Genomic DNA, 26,581 nt, shown 5'->3' with positions numbered 1-26,581 from the left:
AAATAATTTTCAGTTGGGACATCATTCAAGAAGTTATTCCTCCCAGCAAAAACAAACTGTAACCTTTCTCCAAAGTCACAGCAGAATAGAGCACCAGATGCACAAAGGTTTTAAGCCAAATAATAAAGACATAGATTCAGAAAAGACACTTGGGCAATATCAGAAAATTTGGAATAAAAATTTGGAATCTTAAGAGATCAAAAACAGGACCGTTCTCTAAGCTAATCTTACTGAGAAGTATCTCTAGTTCCTTAATAAATATCCACTTAAATATCAATAGCAGAATCCCATCACAGGTGTTTATAAAGTTTGTGAACCATATAATAAAATGTATGAGATTTTATTATAATTGTGGTTTACTTACCCAATAATTTCCTGTAATAAATTAATAAAATCCAGAGTAAATGAACCTGGGAGAAGCTGATTAACTTGTAATAACAATTACGGAATCTTTACTAGAAAAAACAGATATGCACCTTTCCTTATAGGATATAGATTTAACAAGGTTGATTTCCCAGGAATATTTACTCAATCATTATAATAGACCTTTCTGTGTAATCTGTTAGCAGTGCTGATATTAGCTGCATTACTTTATGTGGAAACCATTTTGGGGATTCATTGAAATCTAAATTTAAGTTTAAGAATTATTAATTTGGTTAAAGTAAGATTTATTCTAGGAATTTAAACATATTAAATTATTTTCAGAGCAGACAGGCATATAAAAATAGGATTAAAGTTTTGTTGAAGGTATAAATTTTTTGAAACAGTCATTGTAACTATCATTTTTGGAGGGCTCATGACACACCTGGAACTGTACTGAGGATTTGCATTCATTGTTTTCAACAAAGTCCTATGAGCTTTGATCTGTTAAATTAAACCTTATAAAATTAGTGACATTTTACAATTTTTTGACGTAAAAGTTGAAATTATAAAATATAGACATAAGTCAAGATATACATGTAGAATCATTTTATCTTAGTTTCTATTCTTATTCTTTTATTACACAATCAGAAGATTCATTTTTTTTTTCCAGAATGCTTTTTAAAATGCCAGGTTACTGTAGCAAGTAAAGTAAAAACTGTCAATTTTGAGACTCATTTTGATTCTGGCAGAGATGTTCTCTAATCCAGAGGGAAAAGACTCTTGAAAAACTTCAAACATCATCTCAATCCTCAGAAGTGTTATTATAATATTTTATTCAGTCAAATTAACAGCTGGATTGGACATATTTTGAAATATATTTGGTACAAGAGGGTAAAAAATGACAAGCACTATTGTGTGAAGTCTAAACTTATTGAGCTGAACACGATCAGAGCAACTTCTGGACAGGTTATCACAGGTGACTAGAATACTGTGCTAATGTGGGTGGCATCAAAGTTTAATAATCAGAGAAGGTAGTTAGTCTGCCAAGCCGAAACCCTGTCCTTCAACCAGAGCCTGCTCTCCTAACCTCAGCTAGCTCTCCAGTGCACCCAATTAACCTTACAAGGAAAACTCAAGAGGCAGCCTGATTGACTCATCAAAGCTCATCATAACTCAGGCAAAACAACTAAAAAGACATATCTTCTTTTAGTGAACATTTACAAAGTTTAAAATACCAATATAAAGCTTTTTCAACTTTTCAGTATAAAAATTTTCAAATATATAAATAGAATAAAATTATAAACTCAAATATTCATCATCCTACTGAAACAATTATCAACTCATTATCAATGAGTTATTTATTTATGCGCCTACTCTTTCTTGCCCCTACTTTGGTCAGATTTGATTTGAAACAAATGGCAGACATTATACAATATTATTTCTATTCTGGTATATATCTCTAAAAGTTAAGAAGTCCTTTAAAACATAATCATGACACCATTATCATACTTCCCAAGATTTAGAATAATTTATTTTTATTTTTAGTTCATGTGCAGGTACATGTGCAGGATGTGCAGGTTTGTTACAAAGGTAAATGTGTGCAAAGGTGTTTTGCTGCACTTATCAACCCATCACCCAGGTATTAAGCCCAGTATGCATTAGTTATTTTTCCTAATGCTCTCCCTCTCTGCACTCCACCCCGGGGAAGGCCCCAGTGTGTGTTGTTCCCCTTTCTGTGTCCATGTGTTCTCGTTGTTCAGCTCCCACTTATAAGTGAGAACATGTGGCATTTGGTTTTCTGTTTCTGTGTTAGTTTGCTGAGGATAATGGCTTCCAGCTTCATCCACGTCCCTGAAAAGGACATGATCTCATTCCTTTTCATAGCTGCACAGTTAGAATAGTTTCTCAGTGTCATCAAATAACCAGTCAGTATTAAAATTTTCTTTCTTTACTCAAATTAGGACCTATGTTTTATGAGTTCATGTGTATCTTGAATTGCTTTATTTATGGGTTCTCCATTCATCTATCTTCATTTGTTCCTTCAATTATATGTCACAAAATGGGTCATTTTTTTTTTCTGTAGTTTCCCGAGCTAGATTGTGCTGTCTGAATCCCCCATATCCACATCTTGCTCTGTGGATTGCATTATTTGCAAATTGGTAAATCTAGAAGATTGACCTAATTCAGCTTAATATTTGTCAATAATTTTGTGTTGTATACTTTAAACAGCAGGTGTATAATGTTTGTCTCCTTTTTTTGTAGTCATACGATCCGTCATTGATTTCAGGTATGACTTCCATTCATTTAATGAGCTGAATTGTGTTTCCCCAAATTTAGGTGTTGACGCCCTAACCCCCAGTACCTCACAATGCATTTGAAGATAGGGTCTTTAAAGAAGATAATTATGGTTAAGTGAGATCATATGGGTGGGCCCAAAACTAATCAGACTGTTGTAGTTACAGGAAGAGGAGATTAGACCATAAAGAGAGCCATCGGGTGCAAAGAAGACCATGTTAGGACACAGGGAAAAGTTGGCCATCTGCAAGCTGAAGAGAGAGGCCTCAGGGAAAACCCAATCCACTGGCACCTTGCTTTTGAACTCCCAGTCAAATTTTTGTCGTTTCAGCCACTTGGTCTGTGGAATTTTGTTACAGTAGCCTCTACAAACTAATATAATTAGTGATGGCCAAATGTTCATGTTTTACTTTTACCATTTCTTCTTCATTCATGTGCTGAAATATTTGAATAAAGAAAAACCTTTTCTTCAGTAATTATTTGATTAACCTGAGGTAGAGTTTGTTTTCACACAAAAAATAAATCGGTATTCTACAGCATCCTCCAAAAAGGTGTAACTCATGTTTTAAACATTGCATGGTAACTCACACTTCAAACAAGTGTGATGGTGAAATAGCAAGTGCTCTGGCTTCCTCCCTTAAAATCAACACTGGGGAAACTGCAGAGGGAAACATACATTCCAGAGACCTACACAACATCACAGTGAAAAACTCCTGGCCAGGCGCGGTGGCTCACACCTGTAATCCCAGCACTTTGGGAAAATGAAGTGGGCAGATTATGAGGTCAGGAGTTCAAGACCAGCCTGGCCAACATGGTGAAACCCCATCTCTACTAAAAATACAAAAATTAGCCGGGCGTGGTGGTGAGTGCCTGTAATCCCAGCTACTCGGGAGGCTGAGGCAGGAGAATCACTTGAACCCGGGAGGCAGAGCTTGCAGCGAGACAAGATCCTGTACTGCACTTCAGCCTGGGCGATAGAGTGAGATTCTGTCTCAAAAAAAAAAAAAAAAAGGGAAAAAAAGAAAAACTCCCATGGAGGGTAAAGATACTCTAAAGTGGCAGCTTAGAGTATGTTTGGCTGCAGTCTGGGTAGAGGCAACGGAAAGCTGCAGTGATGGATTAGGTTACGGTTTATGAAATTCAGCTCTTGCCCTTTCCATGTGTTGCTTTGGAATGCCATTCCCTGGTCCTTCCCTGTACAAATCTAATGTTGTTACCCAAAGCATTGATTAATGTATTGGGGCAAGGCAGAGTTAAGAATAATAGAGAAGCACTAAAATTCTTTTGGGAAATGAAATTGAAAGAAGCAGAGACAGGTCGATTGACTTTAGTCCCAACTGATTAGAAAGAAACTAGTAAAATTTACTGGAAAATAAATGTAGGGAACGTGCAAAATTTACACACTTTTAATGACAGCTAACTCCTAACCACACACCTTCCTTCGTTCTCTTTCATATAGTTGTGAGGAAAATTTTGTCACAAATATCTACAATATGATTTTATCTTCTAGGAATGTATTCATATAAACAGGATGAAACCACCAATTTCTGGTTAATCTCCAGAAAGAAGAATGTAGCTAGGGATGCATTTGGAGGAGAGCTCTATGGGGGGGATTTCAACTGACTTAAATTGTTAAAATTATATACTTATTTAAAAGCGGTTAAACAAATAAGCAAAAATAAGATACCAGCTGGCAAAACTCAAATGATTAGTTACAATATACTAACCAAATAAGTATTGACCTGGCTGCACTTCCATCCCTATAGTTTAGAATAAGTACAATTTCTTACTGTACCATTTCCTCAGCCTATCCACCAATTATTCCTTTGTAACTGATTGATAACATGAAGTGTTATTAAGCTTGAAACAACTGGGATACTGTAAACACCCCTGCTATTGCTGTTTCCTCACATGTGCTCCATCATTATCCTGCACTGATTTTGAAATTGTGAAGTGTTTAATCAAAACATGCCATACTGATTGCAACCTGAATCTGAAGAGCTAATATGACATATTATTGCCTTTTTTAGGTACAAAGAAAAACACATTTTATAAATGATATCATTTAAAATGAATTTTCTTCATCTACATGACAACATCTGTTGGAGTTATAATGACCTAACTTGACAGTGCAATCTACCTGTCTTAGGCATTTAAGTGGAAAGTGGCATATAACAGATGCATGCTGCGTTTTAAACCAAGAATTGGCATGGAAACTACAATGTACCACTTAAGACAACACATACTAGTATCAATATACCCTAATAAGCCTTCTGTAGTGTAGATCAATCTTTGGAAATTTAGCACTTATTTCAAGTATTTCCTTGCAAATACTTTTATTATTTCAGCAAAAGCACCTTGCTACATACTGTAGCAGCCTTTCCCGGCTGGCATTTCTCATTGGAACTAGAAACAACAAAAATGATTTCAGTGACCATTTTCCCAGTTCTCCCAAGAATGGCACATAGCCACTACCTGTCAAGATGCATAGGAGAGAAGTTAATTAATCACATACAGTGGCTGCTTTAGGTATTAAGGCTTCATTCTCTGTATTAGCAAGGATGCTGGGGATAACTATTACAGCAAAGATTCAGTTACAAATGAATTCATACTCTCTATTTCAGTTCCTGTTCCAGGAAAACAAACATGATACATTAATTTTAAAAAGGCACTTTGGGTTATAAAGATATATAAAATATGATTCTTGTCTATGGGTGATAACATCTTGTTGGAGAGGCAATAAATAAGAATAAGATAATCAGTAGTAAGACCACAGTATACATATTTGTACTATACACTGATATAAATGGTCACTATATTGTAATATGAAGTAATTAAATTGGTAAATCACATTACCTTCTGCCACTGTAGAAACTAAAGAGATATTTTTTTCTAGGTTGTCCTGGAAAAAAAAAACTTAGAGAACAGAAGGTATTTAAACTAAAAGAAGAGAGAGGATAACAAAAGATGGCAGAAAAATTCTAGTTTGAGGAACAGCACAAGCAAAAACATATATTTAAGAGTGATAAATATTAGCAAGTTCTGAGGTAAGGGAGAAATTAAAGGGCCAGCAAATAGTTCCTGTGGGGAAATGATAGGAAATAAGACTGAATAAAGGAGGTAGGTAAAGATTGTAAAGGCCTCTGACAGCTTAGGAGATGGGTTGAAGACTTGAAATCTGAGACTGAGACTTTTAAAGTGAACACCTGTATCCACCACCAAGCTTAAAAAGGAACATGATGGTTCACTGTTGGTTATGGGCAAAGGAGTAATATAGATACCCACAAAAGTATTATCTACTTATATATTGCACATCTATCTAGTGGCTAGCACTGCTGAGAGTGATACATATGTTGTACATATTTTCATAATTATCTTACAAGTTGGGCATTAGTAGTGAGACTCTCAGAAGTTACTATCTTCTCACAGTCATATAACTGGTATCTGGTATATATACTATTGTATTGTGCTTAAGATCTGTCTGATTCCAATGCTATTAAAGCACATATCCATGATGGAAGCAATGTTTATGGAAAATTAGTTTGGATGCCGAGTGGAAAATAGACAGTGAAAAATGGTTTCTGTGCCTCTAATGTCTACAAGACACTAGAGACACAGAAACCATTTAGGAGTCAATTAAATGAGTCCTCCCAGGGATCGTAAAAACAAAGAGGGAGGCCCAGAAAAAAGAGAAAAGAAGGAGGAAGCAATGAGAAGCTTAAGGGGTAGAGAATAATAAGCAAAAGCAGGACACAATATCTTGGAATACAAGAAAGGAGAAACCAACATGGGGACATTGTAGTAGTCAGGGAAATTGAATAGAGTGAAGAGGTAGAATAATAATAAAAGTGTTCTTACTATAATCCCTACTGTCATTTGTGCATATGTAGTTACATTTTCCTGGAAAGTCCTCTCTGTCTTTTCAAATTGTTATGTTCCTTGAAGACCCAATTCAAAATTAACTTTGTGGTGTGAAAAATTTCTTTGCCATTCCTTAGAAGGAATAATTATTCCTGAGATACTTAATATTTGATATGTATTACTATTTTATTGTTACCTTTGTTTACTTGTGTGTCTTTAATACTATTATAATGAGGTCTTTGAAGCAGAGGCTATTCTTACATCTACATCAAAATATAAAGTGTATATGTACTTTTTAATTACAAAAGAAATAGTGGTGGGTCAGGGGCAGTGGCTCACGCCTGTAATCCCAGCACTTTGGGAGGCCGAGGCTGGCAGATCATGAGGTCAAGAGTTTGAGACCAGCCTGGCCAACATGGTAAAACCCCGTCTCTACTAAGAATACAAAAATTAGCCGGGTGTGGTGGTGGGTGCCTGTAATCCCAGCTACTCAGGAGGCTGAGGCAGAAGAATCACTTGAACCTTGGAGGCGGAAGTTGCAGTGAGCCAAGATCATGCCACTGCGCTCCAGCCTGGGCAACACAGCAAGACTCCATCTCCAAAAAAAAAAAAAAAAAAAAAAAGAAATAGTGATTATGTATATACCAATATACAGAAAAAGAAAAGCACATGTGATGTATGGAGTATTTTCATCCAGTCTCTTAAAAATATATAATTTATTTTTCCTAGTTTGAATTGTAACATTATTTTGCATGTGAATCTAATCCTGAAAGATCAGACATGTTCATCTTCTGACCAGAGTAATTGGTTCAAAGAAATGTAAGTGGTCCAACGAAGGCCAGTTAGAGCCTTCCCTTCATCCATTAGATATTTTCTGGAACGATTGAGTAAAAGGCTTCACTCTTTCCCTGAGACTGTTAAATATGAGTACAGTATCTAGAATAATAGTCTTGTTACCACATGAGTAGAATCTGCCTGAGAGGGAAAACAAAACAAAAAAAAAAGGAATAACAGAACACAGTAATGGCTAAACATGGGCAGTTCCCTAATGGCATTGCTTGAGCATCTGAATGTAACTGTACCTGGTGCCTGCTGGTCTCTTAGGCTTAACAATTATATCATATAGCAGGAATCTTTTTACTTAAACTTGGCATTAGTTTACTTCAAGCAACCCTAATAGTCTCAACAAATATGATTTCCTTTGCCTTTAATCTTAAACCCTAATTTTTTAACAATTCTATTTTGGGATTTTTAGCCTTTGTGCAGTGCCTACAGTGACATAATAAGTTCTTTCTGAATAAACGATTCAATGCATCTTTCTCTCTTACAATGGAGTGTCTCCATATTGAGTTCCTGGTCCTAGAAGTATTTTGCTTAATTTGTTAACTATGATTATAAAACAGATATAGGTAAATCGTGCCATTTAAATGTATCAATGACTTTAATTTACAGTAATTTAGTTCATCAGAAGTTTATGAGCATTTGCTATGTGTCAAGAACCATGCAAACAACTAGGAGATGTAAAGATAGATAAGACCCAGTTCTGTCTTCAAGGTGGTCATAGTCTAAAAAACAAATCACACAGGGAAAATAAACACGATCGCATATGATGCACACAGTAATAGAGTTACATGTAAGGAGCTATGAAGATGTGTAAGGATCAGGGAAAACTATAGAGAAAATATAATAGTTGGCCAAGTTTTAATAGCTGTGCAAAAAAAGAGAAAACCTTAAAGCAGAAAAAAGAGGGAAGAACACTCTGATCTCAAAAAATAACATGAGCAAATGCAGTTTATGATTATTTTCAAGAAACAGTGAACAATTCTGTGTGACTGCAATATCAAGGAACTGTGTGTGCGTGTGTGTGTGTGTGCGTGTGTGTGTGTGTCTCTGTGTGCGTGTTTGTGTGTGCGTGTGTGTGTGTGCCTGTGTGTGCGTGTTTGTGTGTGTTTGTGTGTGTGTGTTTGTGTGTGTTTGTGTGTGTGTATGTCTGTGTGTGTAGTATTATGAAGCAAGGAGAGGAATGTTAAGTGATAAATCTGCAGACAAGGACAGGGATCGGAAATTTAAGAAGAAGCATTGCATGCTCTTAAAACCAGGTTGCTTTTCCTTTATGTATCTGAAAGCTAGACAGATTTTTAAGTAGAGAACACAAGAAAGTCTGTGTTTTGAAAATATGTGTATCTACTGTTTGTATGGAAGGAGAAGGATAGCATCAAGGATTAAAAACAGAACATCAAGTAGAAGACCATAGCCCTTGGATAAATTGGGCTTAACCTAAGGGAATTTCAGTGAGGATTAGAAGGAAGGGGGATCATTTAAGGCCTCTTTCAGAGACAGAGTCAATAAGGCTTCAGTGCCAAACTGGGGAGATCTTGAGGACAATGTGCACTGGGAATATGACTGTATGAAGCCTAACCTGCAACAAATAATTAATCACATTTTCAAAACTGTCTTTTCCTAAAGTGGAAAACAGCTTCATTGTGTTACAGATGCTCTTTATATTTGTAAAATAATTAGAAGAGAAAGAGATGGCCCTGTGTATATATTAATGCAGCAATAGAAACCTAATTTTGAGCCTGGCACAGTGGCTTATACCTGTAATCCCAGCAGTTTGGGAGGCCAAGGCAGGAGGATTGCTAGATCTCAGGAGTTTTAGACCAGCCTGGTCAACACAGAGAGACCCTGTCTCTACAAAAAAATGAAATATTAGCTGTGTGTGGTGGCATGCACCTGTCCTCTAAACTACTTGGGAGGCTGAGGTGGAAAGATCGCTTGAAACTGGGAGTGTGATGCTGCAGTGAGCCATGACTGTCCACTGCACTCCAGCCTTGACAACAGAGCAAGACCCTGTCTCAAAGAAAAAAGAAACCTATTTTAAGCTGCTTGTTAGAAAATGCTTTTGTAGTAGGTTAAATCATGGTCACCCAGAGATATTAAATCCTAAAATTTGGAAACAAACGTTGCTTTATTTGGAAAAAGGATCTTTGCAGATATAATTATGTTAAGTATTGAGAGGGGAGAGTGTTCTAGATTACATGAATATGCACTAAACCCAATGACAACTGTTTGTTTAAGACTATGGTAGAGGGAGATTTGTCAGACAGAAGAGGAGGCAACATGGCCATGGAGGCAGAGATTGGAGTGATGTTGCCACAAATCAAAGAATGCTGACAGCTAACAGAAGCTGAAACGCTCAAAATCATTCTCCCCCAAAGCCTTTAGGGGGAGTGCAGCCCTGCTGATACCTTGCTTGTGAACTTTTGGCCTCCAAAACTGTGAGAGAATAAATTTCCGTTGTTTTAAGCCAATCAGTTTGCGATAATTTAAGATAGTCAGGGAACAAGTCACTCTGTTTTAATCGTTTGGGACTGCTCACAAAACCAAAAATAGTGCACATTTAAGGTATTCAATAAATACATGTTGAATCAATAACTAAAACTTTCTCTCTCTCTTTTTAGATGAAATCAACGTTTTCTTTTAAATTATTAAAACTTGCCAACTCACTACGACTTCGTAAAGTGGAAGACTCTTTAAATTTTTCCAGGTTATCTTCTTCCTTTTGCAGGTGTGACTTATAGTAAGACTAATCCCATTTTATGATTGTGATCATTTGATTCTTATTCCAATTTACCTAATCTAATTTAATCTAATTTACCCCATGCTGACTAGCTTTTCATTAGCATTAAAAAACCTACATTGAAAAAGTTTATTGTTTTACTTAACTACATTTAATCTGGATATTTCAAAAATAACATGGACACAGGAAGGGGAACATCACACACCGGGGCCTGTTGTGGGGAGAGGTGGGAGTGGGGAGAGATAGCATTAGGACATATATCTAATGTAAATGATGAGTTAATGGGTGCAGTACACCAACATAGCACATGTATACATATGTAACAAACCTGCATGTTGTGCACATGTACCCTAAAACTTAAAGTATAATAAAAAAAAACTTTAGTTATTTAGAGTCTTACTATATCCCCATAGTTAAGAATGTAACTTAAGAATGTAACATAGTTAAGAACATAATTACTTCCCCTTCCATAGTTTTCTCCCTCTCCTGTGCCCAAGAGTTTCTAGAGGTTACTGATTTTCTAGATACTTTTTTTATTTCTGGTAAATAATAATTATACATTTAACCACATCCTCTAGGTAAGAATTAACTGTCACTTTATTGGTTGGGATAAAATGTAGCTACTAACTGGATTAAAATGATGTTCTAGCCTTACTGAGATAGTTAATTTTGTTTTCCAATTAGTTTTGAGAAATTCTGTAGTTTGAAGGTCTTTAAGCATTGATACTTCATAGAATTCCATTTTGTGATTAAAAAAATGGACTCTTTAAGTAAAATTATATTGTTTCACTGGTTTTTCTCTGAAATGAATTCATGTCTTTATATAGATTTTCTGTAATCACTGGTGTCTCCTGATAAATTTTCTGCTCTAATTTAATCAACCCTATGTTATTTATTTTTTCAACAGATAACAAAAATAATTCAATCCAACACTCACAATCGTGACATTTAACTGGAGATATCACTCAACTCATTAGTTCACTGACATTAATCAACACTCTTCTCTGTATGTCTTTTCAACCAGCTTATATTTCCTTTAACAGTGTTTTTCAAGCCAACTCAAATTAATTTTGCAATCAAAATTTCACACGACATTGTCTCCAGTACTTTGCTAGAAGTCAAGATGCATTATGTCTACTCCACTCTGTTCATTTACTAAGGCTGTAAAGCTATCAAAAAAGCAACCAGCTTTGTCTGGCACAATTTCCTCTGTATTAACCTATTCGTATATTTATTTCTTATGGCTGTGCTTTCCTTTCTCAGGCTATTTTAAACCAAGGATGTGGTAATTTTCACAATAATGTTTCATTTTTAAACATTCTTATTCAATCAACAAAATTAATTACATTTAAAAAATAAATTAGTCATTTTTGTTTAAAACATTTCTAAAGAGTCCAATAGATTGGGGAAAAAATGTATTAAATTTAAGCCAAGGAGAGAGGCAACTAAATTTGATGATGGCATGACTGGGTGGGATTATTTTAAGAGTGACCAGTCTGAGACTTAAAACTAGCTGGCTCTGATACACCTCCTCCAAATATCTGTTTAAAAATTTCAACAACTGACCAAAAAAAAAAAAACTTAAAAAAAAAAAAATAAAGCCACAGGCTCCATAATTCAAGTTAGAGAAAGATAAATGAGAAATTCTCAAATAATTTGAAACAACTAAATTGAGATTGGGGATAGATTCAAAAGCATACATTTCATCTATGTATTTCATATCCCATACTTACAACCAGAACAGGACGAATTAGTCCAAGGAAAGTAGAAATATACTTTGATTCTCTTTATGTTGTATAATTCCTTTGAGTATGCATAACATTGGGGCTTAATACTTATTCTAAATATATATATATATTTATCAACCATATATATTCTTTTTCAAATTAGTACAGGGAAGGTAGAAATATGCTTTGAGTCTCCCTATATAATATATTTTATCGGGGAATTGCCCCGATATTCATGTAGGTTCTTTTCTATTTTCCTTAAGCGTCGGCCAGCTTGAGAAATAAAGGGACAGAGTACAAAAGAGAGAAATTTTAAAGCCGGGCGTCCGGGGTAGACATCACATGTCGGTAGGTTCTATGATGCCCCACAAGCCACAAAAACCAGTAAGTTTTTATTAGGGATTTTCAAAAGGGGAGGGAGTGTGTGAATAGGTGTGGGTCAGAGACATCAAGTACTTTACAAGGTAATAGACTATCACAAGGCAAGCGGAGGCAGGGCAAGATCACAAGACCACAGGACCCAGGTGAAATTAAAATTGCTAATGAAGTTTCAGGCACCATTGTCATTGACAACATCTTATCAGGAGACAGGGTTTTGAGAGATCAACCAGTGTGACCAAAATTTATTAGGCGGGAATTTCCTCTTCCTAATAAGCCTGGGAGTGCTATAGGAGACTGGAGTCTATCTCACCTCTGCAGTCTCGACCATAAGAGATGACCATGCCCAGGGGTGCCAGTTTAGAGACCTATCCCCAGGTGCGCATTCTCTTTCTCAGGGATGTTCCATGCTGAGAAAAAGAATTCAGCATTATTTCTCCCATTTGCTTTTCAAAGAAGAGAAATATGGCTCTGTTCCACCCGGCTCACAGGCAGTCAGAGTTTAAGGTTATCTCTCTTATTCCCTGAACAATTGCTGTTATCCTGTTCTTTTTTTAAGGTGCCCACATTTCATATTGCTCAAACACACATGCTGTACAGTTTGTGCAGTTAATGCAATTATTACAGGGTCCTGAGGCAATATACATCCTCCTCAGCTGACAGGATTAAGAGATTAAAGTAAAGACAGGCATAGGAAATCACAAGGGTATTGATTGGGGAAGTGGTTAGTGTCCATGAAATCTTTACAATTTATGTTTAGAGATTGCAGTAAAGACAGGCATAAGAAATTATAAAAGTATTAATTTGGGGAACTAATAAATGTCCATGAAATCTTCACAATCCATGTTCTTCTGCCATGGCTTCAGCCAGTCCCTCCATTTGGGGTCCCTGACTTCCCGCAACAATATTTCCTTTGATTATGCCTAACTTTAGGCTGTAAGAGCTTTATGGCCAAGTAAGCAGCAAGCTATCCTGAACTATATGAGAACTATCTTTATTAGTATCCAGAGACTTTGTTCTCTTATTCACTACCTGCTGCCTTCTCAGTTACACTCTTTCACAAATATCCAGAGACTACTACTCAAAGCAGAAACCACCGTAAGGTTATGGAAGTAGAGAGGGTGAGATGACAATAATTTTTGTTTTGGAAGATTTAGTCACTGAGTGATAAGTAGTATAAACAAGACAGTGTCTGGAATAAATGCTCTGTCATAATTAGACCAAATAACTTTAGTAAATCTCTGTCAAAAACCTATACATGGAATACCTACTATGCATGGTAAATTTGATTAAATGCTGAACATATCTATTTGATCTTTAACTCTAGGTCTGAGAAAGAAAAACTGAACTTAACTAAATGGATTGTAGAGGAGGCAAAAGATGCTTCACTTTCTTTAACTATTGACAAAAATAAAGATTGGGCCTGGATGGTTTATAGAAACATAAACAAACACAAAAACTCATTGCACCCTAAACAAATCAGAATATCACCCTCAAGTCTCAGAGGTAGTACATACCTCACATAAATTCTGGCTGCATTCAATAAAAATGTTGCAATATAATCTGATGAATGCCTTTAAACAATGAAAATCTAGGTGAAACATCAGTAGAGAACCAACAAAGAGAATAGGCTGAAAGGAAGGTAATGATATAAAAGATGAGATAATATGAGAAAAGAAAACAAAAAAGAATAAAGACAAACTTCTACTGCAGAATAAAAATAACAGTTGGGAGTAGTAAAGAATGCAAATGATATATCAGGACTAATGAATAAGTTACACAATAAGTGAACTTTTAAAACTCTCAAGTTGCAAAGAAAAGGTCAAAAAGAAGAGAATAATGAGAAATATGACCTATAAAGACAGGAATGCAATCTAAGGCCTTAAGATTTTCCAGAAGAGGGTTAGGTACAGTGGCTCACACCTGGAATCCCATGGCTTTGGGAGGTTGAGGTGGGAGGATCACTCGAGGCCCCAAATTCAAGACTAGTTTGGGCAACATATCAAAACCCTATCTCTACAAAACATTTATAAAAATTAGTCAAATGTGGTGGCATTTGACTGGGTGGTAGTCCCAGTTATTTTAGAGGCTGAGGTGGGAGGATTGCTTGAGCCCAGGAGTTGAACGTTACGGTGAGCTATGATTACACCACTGCACTCTACTCTGAGTGACAGAGCAAGACTCTTGTCTCTAAATATAATTTAAAAACAAAATAAGATTTTTCAGAAAAAAATAATAGGTCAATGAAAATAGATTCAATACTCAAAGAAATAATGGAAGAAAAATTTTCTAACCCAAGTATGATAGTTTATATATTAAAAGAGCTCACTAAGTCACAGGCAAAATTGATTTTTTTAAAAAAGCCTATTTTTAGACCTAACCTTGTGATTATTTTTTAATTCCAAAGTTATAAAAATTTTTCCACATGTGTCTAAGCACAAAAACAGATTACCTACAAACAAATAAAAATAGCACTAGTTTCAGATTTTTATGAAAACGTAGCTTTAGTATTTTTCTCCTTAGCAGCAGATGTCAGTTGAAAATGTATATATGTCTTCAGATTTTTAGAAAGAAAAAACTAAGAATGCCAAATTGTTATTCATGAGAAAAAGCAATAGGAAAACATTCTCAAACTACAATGAATACAACACACATATATATATTTTTCTTACTCTTTGGCAAGAGAATTTAACTGAGATGACTATGAGATGAATAAAAATACAGAACTGAAGAATAGAGAATATAAAAGTATAAAATGATTGGAAGAGAAGTTGGAAGCAATTACATATATGAAGCTAGGCCTAAAAATAATATTTTGGATGACTATATATACATATATTTTCTATTAACTAATATTTTCTCTTATGATAGTTTTGGAAGAGAATATATGAAGAGGAAGTAAAGGGGTGCCTTAATTTTCATGCACAAAGAAAAACAGATTGTTGTAGTATTGTTTTTCATAATTAAGGTATATTAATTTAAGTACATGTTAAATCAACTTAAACAGATTCACTAGAGAAATTAAAAACAAAATTCATATGTTCTATGTCACAAAAGAAGGTAAATACATACATTGCAAGAAAGAGAACATAAGCATGCAAGCACTCACACAACAGTAACAACAAAACAAGAATTAATTAGAAAAAAAACACATATATCATTAACAGAGGTAGTTTGATTTTTATATATTAGATTTCCAGTCTTTGCTTAGGATGTAGATGTCTGGAAAGAGCATTAATTCCTTCTCAACAAGAAAAAAAGAAGCTGTAATGGACAAAATCATCACTCCTCTTAACCACATCGAGGGCTGGGATTGCAGGTAGATCTCATAGCCTGAAATGTAAGGAAAGACAGGCTCCTCCAAGGACAAAGAGGCACATGTGTACTGATGCAGCTGGAGTAGAGCATGAAAGGAGATTGAGGTCCTGATGAAAGTAGGTAAGAAATTTTTGTTTGTTTGTTTGAGACAGGGTCTCACTCTGTCGTCCAGGCTGGAGTGCAGTGGTGCAATTTCAGCTCACTGCAACCTTCATCTCCTATCAAGTGATTCTTCTGCCTCAGCCTCCTGAGTACCTGAGATTACAGACATGCACCACCATGCCCAGATAATTTTTGTATTTTTAGTAGAGATAGGGTTTCACCATGTTGGCCAGGCTGATCCCGAACTCCTGGCCTCAAACAATCAACCTGCCTCAGCCTGTCAAAGTGCTGGGATCACAGGTGTGAGCCACCGTGCCCCGCTGCAGGTAAGGAAATTTTAATTTTTAAAATAAATTGCCTAATCCAAGTATGAGCTTGCATGAGTATAGAGCTTGCATGATAGTATATGGTGTAAGAGTACACTCATAAGAGTAGAGAACTACTGGGATTCACAGGCACAAAGGCAATTTCCACCCAACTTGCAGGCTATCTTTCACAGACCTCACCATGTGTTTACAACGAAGACTGGAGGCAGAATGAAAGATCAGAGAAAACTTCTCTCAGTGGTGCAGGCCTGAGAAGAGGAGCAATTTCTGTTGTGAGAAAGGGGTAAACCCTTGCCCAGATTTTTCTTCCCTACATAGCTTATTGAACAAAAGCTTTAAGGCACTATGGAAGGGGAAGCAAAGCTTAATAGCTTTGCTATAGTTTCTCAGGAAACAGGTGAAAACTCAATGAAACTGTGTAAAGGGTAAAAGAAAAAAATCAACCATTCCAAAAGGGGTAAAATCTCCCCCAAGCATGAGACCTGCCAAACATTTAAGACAAAGTTTGACTGCCATGAGGAGGATGAGTAGGATCACCAAGAAAGCCAGATCCCCAATCCAGGGACACACTGCCTGCCTAAGCCTAAGAACTGTCCACAACCCGTCCCCCGGCAACAACTCCCCACACACCCACAAGCAGACTAGTAAGTGGTGTGAATAACAAGTAATGGCATTCTACCATTGAGAGAGAAGCAACGGTATAAAAAATATACTCACTGAGGCACAGGCTCACAGGAAAATCTAGTATCGAGAAAAGTTACAAATTCTCTTTAGTGACCCAACACCTAACCTAAGCATAAGATTTCACTAGAAGATTGGAAACCTGTGGTGCACTGAGTGTAACAAGCAACAGCAGTGTAAATCAAGATTGACTGTTGACTGGATTGATTTAACAGCCCATCTCCAATAAAAACACACACTGGGGCCTGTGGGGTGGGGGAAGGGGGAAGGAAAGCATCGGGATAAATAGCTAATGCATATGGGGCCTAATACCTAGGTGATGGGTTGATAGGTGCAGCAAACCTGCATAGCACACGTTTACCTATGTAACCAACCTGCACATCCTGCACGTTTCCTGGAACTTAAAATAAAATATAATCTAAAAAAAAACTAGCAGCAGGAGAGGCATGCCTGTTTCCACACATTAATACTATTTACCTCAGTCTCTGCTGTCCTTACATAGTGTCTGTCTTTCATTCAAATGTTATAAGACACATAAAAAAGCAAGAAAATAACACCCACTATTAGGACATAAATTAATCACTGAACTAGATGCAGATATAATCCATATGCTGGAATCAAAACACAGGATATTTTAAAGAATCATGATTAATACAGTGAAGGCTCTATTAAAAAGGTGGACAACATGCATGACCAGATAGGAAATTTCAGCAGAGAGATAGGCTCTAATAGAATCAAATGGAAATCCTACAAATAATAATAATAATAATAATAATAATAATAATCACAGTAACATTTAAAAAGAGCCTTTGATGGGCTCATTTGTAGACTTCATACAGCCCTGAAAAGACTGAGCAAATTTAACAAGAGAGAAAAATAGCTTACTTCTTACAAGACCAAGCAGCATATTTATAAAGAAGCAACAGACTATAGTTGCCAAAACCTCAGTTTGGAGACAGAGAGCTTGGGTTCAAATTTCAGCTCAGTTGCTTACTAGTTTTGTGACTTTGAACAACTTACATAAATTCCCTCTGCTTCACTCAACTGTAACCCTCAGTAAATGGGATGATAATCATACCTTATAAGGTTCTCTTGAGGGCTAAATGAATTATTGCATGTAAAAAAATTTAGTAATTATGCATGTCCCACTATAGATGTCAATAAGTGTTACCTATTGTAATGAAAAAAGAAAAAAGAAGCCAGTATAGCAATGGTTATATTAGATAAAATAGAATTTGGAGAAAAATTATTCAATATGCAAAATGTTATAAAAGTACATTTGATAAAACTTTGTACACTAAAAAAAGCAGCACAAATATACAATGTGAAAATCTTAGAAATACAAAGAAAAACAAAGAAATATAGACAAAGAGAAGTACAGAAAAAATATAGACAAAATTGCATGTGGAGTAAAAAAAATTTAAAATGGCACTAATCATCTATAACTGATAACAGGTGAAAAATTAAGTATATGAAAAATATCATAAATAATATAATTGAATTACAAATTATAAAACAAATTGGATATCCCAAAGAGAATATAGCATGCTCTTAAATATTGATGAAACATTGACCTTATATTTGCAACAAAACACATGTAAATATTTTGAAATTCTGAGCATGTTACAAAATAAATAGGAAAGTTCACATTATCTGACCACAATGCAATACTAGAAATTAATAACAGATATATATTTTTAAAACTACTGATAAAATATTTAAATAAGGATTTTCACCATATAAATTCATTTAAAAAGGATATCTCACATATTTAGAAAATAGAAATACTGACACTACATATCAGACCTATGGGGTAAAGCCAAATTGATCTCAGATGAAATATTCAAGTAATTAAAAATATCATTATTGAGCACAACAAAATTAAAATAAATGAACTAAGTATTCCATTCAAGAAGCTGGAAAGGTTAGAATACATTATTTCGCAAGATAGAGAATGGAATACATAAAAGCAAAAGGCAAAAGGAAGAAATGAATACATTAGAAAAAAAGGAACATAACACTAATATAAATAAATCCAAGAACGGATTCTTTTAAAACATTGGTAAAATGAACAAGTTTCTTATAAGACCAGTTAAGAGTAGAAAATAAACAACTGTAGAAATAAAATATTATCGCAGCTATAAAGAAGTTGTCTCATTAAGAAATGTCTAGGAATGAAATTCTGTTAATGAATTTTAAAAGCTATTTTTAAAGAAGATTTACGTGTCAAGACTTTAAGAAGACTTGCAAAGGTAATATGGAACAGATAATTCCTATATTATTTAAGAGATTGCAGAGAATATAAAAGAAGTGATGCTTCAAATGGTGGCTTGATTGTATTATTGACCCCATTTTTTTTTTTTTTTTTTTTTTTTTTTTTTTTACACCTTCCTTATCTATGCCCTTTTGTAATGCCTACTGCCTTCCCATTACTGACTCTGGGCTTGGCTATGGTATTCGCTTAGCAAATGAAACAGTAGCGCTATCCATGATGTTGGAGCTACTGTTTCATTTGCTAAGCAAATACCATAGCCAAGCCCAGAGATCATTATGTTGAATGAAATGAGCCAGGCGCAGAAAGATAAACATCACATGTTCTCACTTATTTGTGATCTAAAAATCAAAACAATTGAACTTATAGTCACAGAGAGAGAAGGATGGTTACCAGAGGCTGGGAAGAGTAGCGGGTGGCTAGAGATGGGGATGGTTAATGGCTACAGAAAAAAATGAATAAGACCTACTATTTGATAACACAACAGGGTGAATATAATCAATAATAATTTCATTGCATATTTTAAAATAACTAAGAATGTGATTGGATTGTTTGTAGCTCAAATGATAAATGCTTGAGGGAAAGGATATCCCATTCTCCATGATGTGCTGATTTCACATTGCATGCCTGTGATGAAAACATCTCATGTACCCCATAAATATATACACCTACTATGTACTCACAAAAATTACTTTCAAATGAAAAAAAAAATGAAAAAATTGCAAACAAGTTTCAAAAGACACATGCATGGTTTAACTTTATTGGACCCCTGACGACATGTGAGGATGTGTGCCTGATCTAGCCTGTTGGAAAGAAGGATGTCAGAGACACATTTGAAAGAGGGATGAATTATCTCAGCTGAAGGTATCCCAGATCAGCTATCTTAGGTGACTTGCCAGTTGACCACAGATGATGAGCAAGCCCAGCTGAGGTGAGTCAAACCTGATCCAGTTCAGCAGAACATCCCATCAACCATAGACTCATGATAAATAATAAATGGTGTTACTTAAACTGCTAATTGAGTGATGGAGAACACAGCATTATCATGGCAACAGTTAACTTTCTTCCCATTGTTAAATACAGCCAATAAAAACAGACTTCAAAACCTGACAAAAATAGCAGAAAACAGAAAATTAACCTCCCTTATGTAAAATAACTGTATTAATAGTAGTAGCAGACTTAATTCAGTATTACTTTTAAAAATAACGTAGTAACTAAGTCTTATTTGTTCCAGATATGATTCATTACTAGATCAAAGAAGAAAAATCTGGGTAGATGCTGAAGTAGAATTTGGTACAATGTAATCCAATCTTTTCTTAAAATTTCAAGACCTTTATTTAAATGTTTTATCAGCACTTTTTTGTTTCTTTTTTAAAATCTCTTATTAGTTTCTAGAGTTATTGCATTATGGTCAGATAATGTGAATTTTCCCCATTTATCTATTTTCTAACATGCTCAGAATTTCAGAATATTTACAGTTATTTCATTTACTAATATAAAGGTCAATGTTCCATGGATGCTTACCAATATGCTATGTTCTCTTTGGTATATACAATTTGTTTATTTGTTTAACAATTAGTACTTAAAAACAGAAGTACAATTTCTTAACTTATTAAAATGTACCAATTTAAAATAAATGATCATTTTATGCTGAAGCAATTCTCATTAAAATCAGGAACAAGAAAAGAGTCATTTTTGCTACTGTTAATTAATATTTTTAAAGTAATAGCTAATAAAGCTTGATAAAAACAAAACATTTAATATAGGAACTAAAGACATAATTTCTTACTGAGGATATAATTGCCTATCTGGAATACCCAGGTTAGTGTCCTCTTTCTAAATTAGAAGAAGAAATACTTTGAAGATGCCATTTTTCTCCAAAATTGATCTACAAATTTGATAAGTCCAATGAAACTATCTTAAAGACTTTGTTTGTAAACATCATTAATTATAAAGCTCCTTTAAAATAAAAAAGAATAATAATATTTTGAAAAAGAAAAATATATTGGATTTACCTTACCAAAATTGTAATTAGAATATATCACAAAGTTTCTGCAGTAAAAACTTTATATGATTTGCATCAAAATAGGTCAATAAAACAAAATATATATAGCACAAACACAAAATGAAATTTTTATTATACAAAAAGGTGGGAAGGAATGGATTACTCAATTAGTGACTTTTGAACAACCAAGTTGTGACAGATAAAATAAAGCTGGATTCCTATTTCACACCTACATCAAACATAATCAAGATCCTTTACATATTTAAAGAAAAACATTTTAATATAAACTATATTGCTGCAAAATAACAAAATATTTTGTAGCAATATTTTGTAGCAATATAAATTTTAATATAAACTATATTGCTGCAAAATAATGAAATATTTTGTAGCAATATAAATAAAATAAACTTGGAAACCAAAAGAAAGACCTTTCTAAATATAACAGCCAGAGCAGAAACTATAAAAAGGAAAATTAATAGTTTGATAACATAAAACATTCAAAACTTCCCCCAAAAATAGGAAAAATTTAAAGAAAAATGAAAAAATTGGGAATAAATATTTTCAACATATATGACAGAATATTTTTTAATTCATGGAGTTAATAATTAAATTATTTTTTAATTCATGGAGTCCTCTTGAATTAATAAGAAAAATATGCATAAATAATGAAATAAATAATTAGCTAAGGCAAAATAATCAGTGGCATTAGTAATCAAAGAAATGTACATACTTTTCAACCTGTCAGTTTGGTAAAAATTAAAAAGCAGGATAATATAGTTTGATAGGTGAGAAAAGAGACATTTTCATTTTTTGTTAGTGGGAGAGTAAATTGTTATAACCTGTAAGAGGGAAAATGATTACTTAATATGAAAAACCTTCAGACTTAAATATCATTTGATCCCTAAATCCTAGCTATAAAAACATAAAAAAAATTGAAAACAGGCCATATAAGAATTTAAATATAGATATTCCAAATTATTTTCATTAGTGAAAAAATTAAAATCAACCTTAGTACCTTAGAGACAAATAGTCATTTGTCCTTATAAAGAAATAAAAGAAATAAAAAGACACACAAAGCACACACATATTTGTTGTCATAAAAACTGTTCCAAAATGCTTGTACATAAAAATAATTGCAAAATAATGTAAATGTTTGACCCCATATTACTCAAAAATATGAACAAGATAGCTGATTCTGATGAAAAAATATGTATCAAAGTTATAGAAATGGAATTTCAGTGATTTCTGTCTTTCTTGTACAACTTTTTTTGTTTACACGTTATGTTTTAATAAAATGCTACTATAAATAATTTTGTACATAATTAGAATGAATCTACAACATATAAAAATATGAGAGGCAGCCAAAGTTTTCATAACTGTTTAATTCATTTTATAAATGCCTTTATGATTAGGAGAGTTAGAATAAAAATACATGAAGTAAGCATTCAATTCAGTAACTTAGAAAAAAATCATAAAAGCATTTTCCATAAATGAAACAAATGGTAATAAAAGCAGACACCAAAAATTAGTGGTTCTTAAAGTAGAATGAATAATTGAAAAAAAAATTTATTCTTTGAGAAAAAAATAATCATAAAAGAACTAAGCTAAATTAACAAGAACAGCAAGAAATAAAATTGCTTATCCTAAAATGAAGCTGGAGAACTAGGCCAGGGCCCTTGTTTTTATATACTTTATGAATCATATTAAGTATTCTATACTTGATAACAATGGCAGAGGGACAAAATTAAAAATGTAAAATTTGTGATGGCAAGAAGTAGCACAGTGTCTTACCCATTGGAGGTGCTCAACAAATGTGGTGAGTTAGTGAAAGATGATAAGTAGGTAAGTTTATATTTATACGGGTTTTATATGTTTATGATTTTATGTGATTTTTAAACAATAATGTTTATATTTTACAGTGTTCTTTCTTTCTGGGTCAGGTTTGTAAAATAAATTAGAAAGAAGCTCAGCTAGAGGAAGAGAGACAAGTCAGTCTTTGTGATGTTCTGGGTAATAATTAATGAGGGCACCAGCGGATTTTGAGAGTAAGAGACAAACTGGAGTTACATTCTTTTGCTGTTCTCTGAAGATCTGTAGTAGGATCATACTTTCTTGCATTCTGTGGTAGCATGTAGGTATTGGACCAATTTTGGCCAAGGAATTGTGAGTTGAAGTAAAATGTGTCACTTTCAGGGCAAATATATTTTTTGCTGATGCGAGGTCCTGCAGAGCTCTCTTTCTTAAACTGATAAAATTACAAGCAAATTCTAGATAGTGGCTGTTTTTTCAGTCTATGGACTAAAGGTGGCCACACATTCTTTTACTTCTCCTGATAAAGAAGTGGAGTTTGTTTTTCCAGTTCGTGAATCACAAGATCGATTGCTTAACTAAGAGGACATAGCAGAAATGATGCTGTGCCAATTTCAGGTGTAGTCTTAAAGAGTATTGGCATCTTCCACTTCCTCCCTCTTGGAACACTTGCTCTTGAGATATGGCCTCTGCAAATTCTTCAGCTGTGCTGTGAGAAACCCAATCCACGTAAACAGACTCCATGAAGGCTGTCCAGCAGACAGCCCCACTGGAGCCCCCAGTCAACATTCAGTATTAACTGCCAATCACACAAGTGACCAATGTTGGACAATCCAGCTCAACCAAGGTGTCAGATGACAGCAATCCCAGCAGACATCAAATGGAGTGGAAACCCCCCTCACTGAGCCCATTCCTCCCACAGAACCATAAGAAGTCATAATAGCACTGTTATGTCAAAACCACCAAGTGTTGGGGTGGTTTGTTCCACAGTAGTAAGTAATGGAAACAGTCTGGATCCAGGAATAAGAATGTTGAGGAGAGGAGAAAACACTCTCCCCAGAGTAGCCTTATAAGCATGAGCAAGAAATATACCTCTCTTGCATTAAATCATTGAGGTTTTTACATGTTGATGATAATAATAATAATGACAATAATTGTCCTGATTTATAAATGTAGAATATCTAGAAGAAATAAGTTGTGGAGGAAATTTAAAAATAAGCTCAGTTTCACACACTCAGGGGGCAACCAGGCAAAAATATCTAGTAGGCATTTAGGTCTTCAACACAATATGTCTAGGGTCACTTTACAGGCCTTATTGAACATTTTATATATATTATATATATATATATATCTTATTTATAAAATATATATATAAATCTTCATATATAAATATTACATATACATAAAGACTACATATACATATACATAAATATTACATATACATAAAGATTACACACACACACACACACACACACACACACACACACACACACACGGATGAGCCACCCCAGGGGAGTAAATAATCTGAACTTTATACCTACTTTAGCGTAGTTTAAAATCACGTTAAGTGTTTAAAAGTCCTAATTTTTGAGCTATAAATCACTGTCACTGTATACGATAATGGTGATACAGGGATTGGTAATGTATAATCTTTGTCCTCAGGGAACACTCAATCTTTTCTACCAGAATTATGGGATTCTTTCCCTCAAAAAAATTTGCTTCTTTCCTGTTTCATCTTACATTTAGTCCTTTCTGTAGCTTGACAAGTCTGTCATTCTTAGCTTCTGTGACATAATCTTTATTTCTCAATAATTAGTCAGTTTAATGTCTAAACAGCATAAGATTATTCAACTGATTAGTGCAATTTAAATTATAAGAAATTATGAAAAATAAATAAGATTCTTTCATGCAACATGAATTCAACGAAAACAAGTTATGCCAAAGAACCTCATTTAAAAGGCTTAGTGTTACTGGACAAGTAGATCTTGGGAAAAAAGTTATCCTCATATTTAATATCTATTTTCTATTCTCCATAATGGTAGAAAGATCATCAACTTTGTAGAGTTGCTTTAAAAATAAAATAAGTTAATAATTGTAAATTACTTAATACAGTGTCTGGCATATGTGTGTGTGTGTGTGTGTGCATGTGTGTGCTTGTGTGTACATTTATTCAATAACATGAATAAACCATCGATAATTCAACAATGTCAATTTCAAGTCCTCACAATAATACTGGATGTTATCAAAGTTTGTAGGTGCCTACTCTTATACATGGGGCTCATTTTCTTGCTACTGTGAACATTATCTTCTTTGCTGTCTAAGGAGGAGGCTAAATGGAGTAAAATAGTGCCTACTGCTTTCCCTTGGCCATTGTTAATATGTCATCCTCAGCCCCAAGTAGCAGAGTTTCCTCTTTTTATTATCTTTCTTGTATTACGCATGATTTTTAAAACACCTTTGGAATTTTTCTCAACTCCATTCTTGCTTTAAACTCACTGTCAATTTTTTTAGGTGTCTATATTATTCTTCCATTATCATTCTTACTTATATACCTCTACTTTCATCATTTTCCATGTTCTCACATTTATTGCTAGCTCCTTGGGCTGCTGTGCTGATCTCTTTGGATGCCCATTTTCTTCTTTATCAGCACCATCTGTGATTGTGTGGTCTGAAGTCCATTTTGACAGTTTCTCTTTTCTTTTGTGGCATTTTCATTTTATTGTTATCTGATCTCCTAGCCATTCTTTCTCTAAGCTTTCTGTAATGTGATTTTTCACATCTAGCTGTTTCTGATTCTGTGTACTGTTACTTTTCCTGGCTAGCTCTGACTGCGGGGAAACATGATTAATTTTTCCAGGGTTCCTGGTACTTTTCCTTCTTTAATAGGTTCCTCTCTTTTGGTAGAAGTTACATCTGGTGACAGCTCTCCTATTAAGTTTAGAATTGATTAAAATATCTAGTTTCCACAGAATCTTCTTATGTATGAACCATGGAAGTCCACGCTCACTACTATGTGTTACCTCAAAGCCAGTTTTACAACAAGGATGCCTGAGTCATGTCTTCAGCCTCACCTGGCTTTCTAAAGCACATCCCATTGGGGAACTGTTTTTGTTCTCCTTCTTTTTGAATCTCACCCAGACACAATGATATTTTCAGGACTTGCACATGTAGCTCTTCACAACTCCGCTTTATTTCTGCCCTTCTTGATTGCTTCTGTTGACCACAATACATCTTTTTTATGCATACTCAAATTCCATCAAACTGATAGAGATCAAGTCTTAAGGAGGCAAGACTGAAATTAGGGTAGGTAGTCAAGCTTTGGTCCAAGCATCTCCATTGTACCCCACCATGTTCTACAACAACAACAACAACTACAACTACAAAAATAGTCTTGCTCTTTAGGAATACATTTACTTTGCATCATTTTTCTTATCTCTGTATTGGGGAGACATTCTGTTGCCCATGGATAAATATTTCTAGAATGAAATTGAATGCATCAGGCCATAAAACTAGTTGTCATTTCTTATTAAGATCATTCAATAGAGTGTAGGACTTTGGAGCCAGACTGCCTGGTCTGTTTTACAGGGACACCACTTGCTAGTTGTGAGACTGTGGACAGATTATTTAACTTCTCACTAAGCTTACCTATCTAGGAAATGTGAATACTTATAGACTTGCACTGATTGGATTGTTATGAACTTTAAAATAGTTAATACTATGTGATTTTTCACATGTAGCTGTTTCTGACTCTGTGTACTGCTTCTTTTCCTGGCTGGCTCTGATTGCAGGGCAACAAGATTAATTTTTCCAGGGTTCCTGGTACTTTTCCTTCTTTAATAGGTTTTTTAAAATAGATAATACTAT

General features: G+C 34.5%; 1 protein-coding gene across 18 annotated transcripts in view, besides 1 other annotated feature; it reads right to left on the bottom strand.

Moving 5' to 3' along the window:
• Positions 1-26,581, bottom strand: part of GRID2 (glutamate ionotropic receptor delta type subunit 2) — a 1,506,491-nt gene that overhangs the window by 431,573 nt on the left and 1,048,337 nt on the right. The gene's annotated exons all lie outside the window — the stretch shown is intronic.
• Positions 12,100-12,913: an enhancer, noted in NCBI's record as "OCT4-NANOG hESC enhancer chr4:94287122-94287935 (GRCh37/hg19 assembly coordinates)". NCBI's record gives its function as "activates a minimal SCP1, AML or CMV promoter by ChIP-STARR-seq in primed H9 embryonic stem cells {active_cell/tissue: H9 hESC(primed)}" and the evidence as "EXISTENCE:reporter gene assay evidence [ECO:0000049][PMID:30033119]".

This window comes from Homo sapiens, chromosome 4, assembly GCF_000001405.40.
Source record: "Homo sapiens chromosome 4, GRCh38.p14 Primary Assembly".
Taxonomy (NCBI): domain Eukaryota; kingdom Metazoa; phylum Chordata; class Mammalia; order Primates; family Hominidae; genus Homo; species Homo sapiens.
This window is presented reverse-complemented; position numbering and strand designations above follow the sequence as displayed.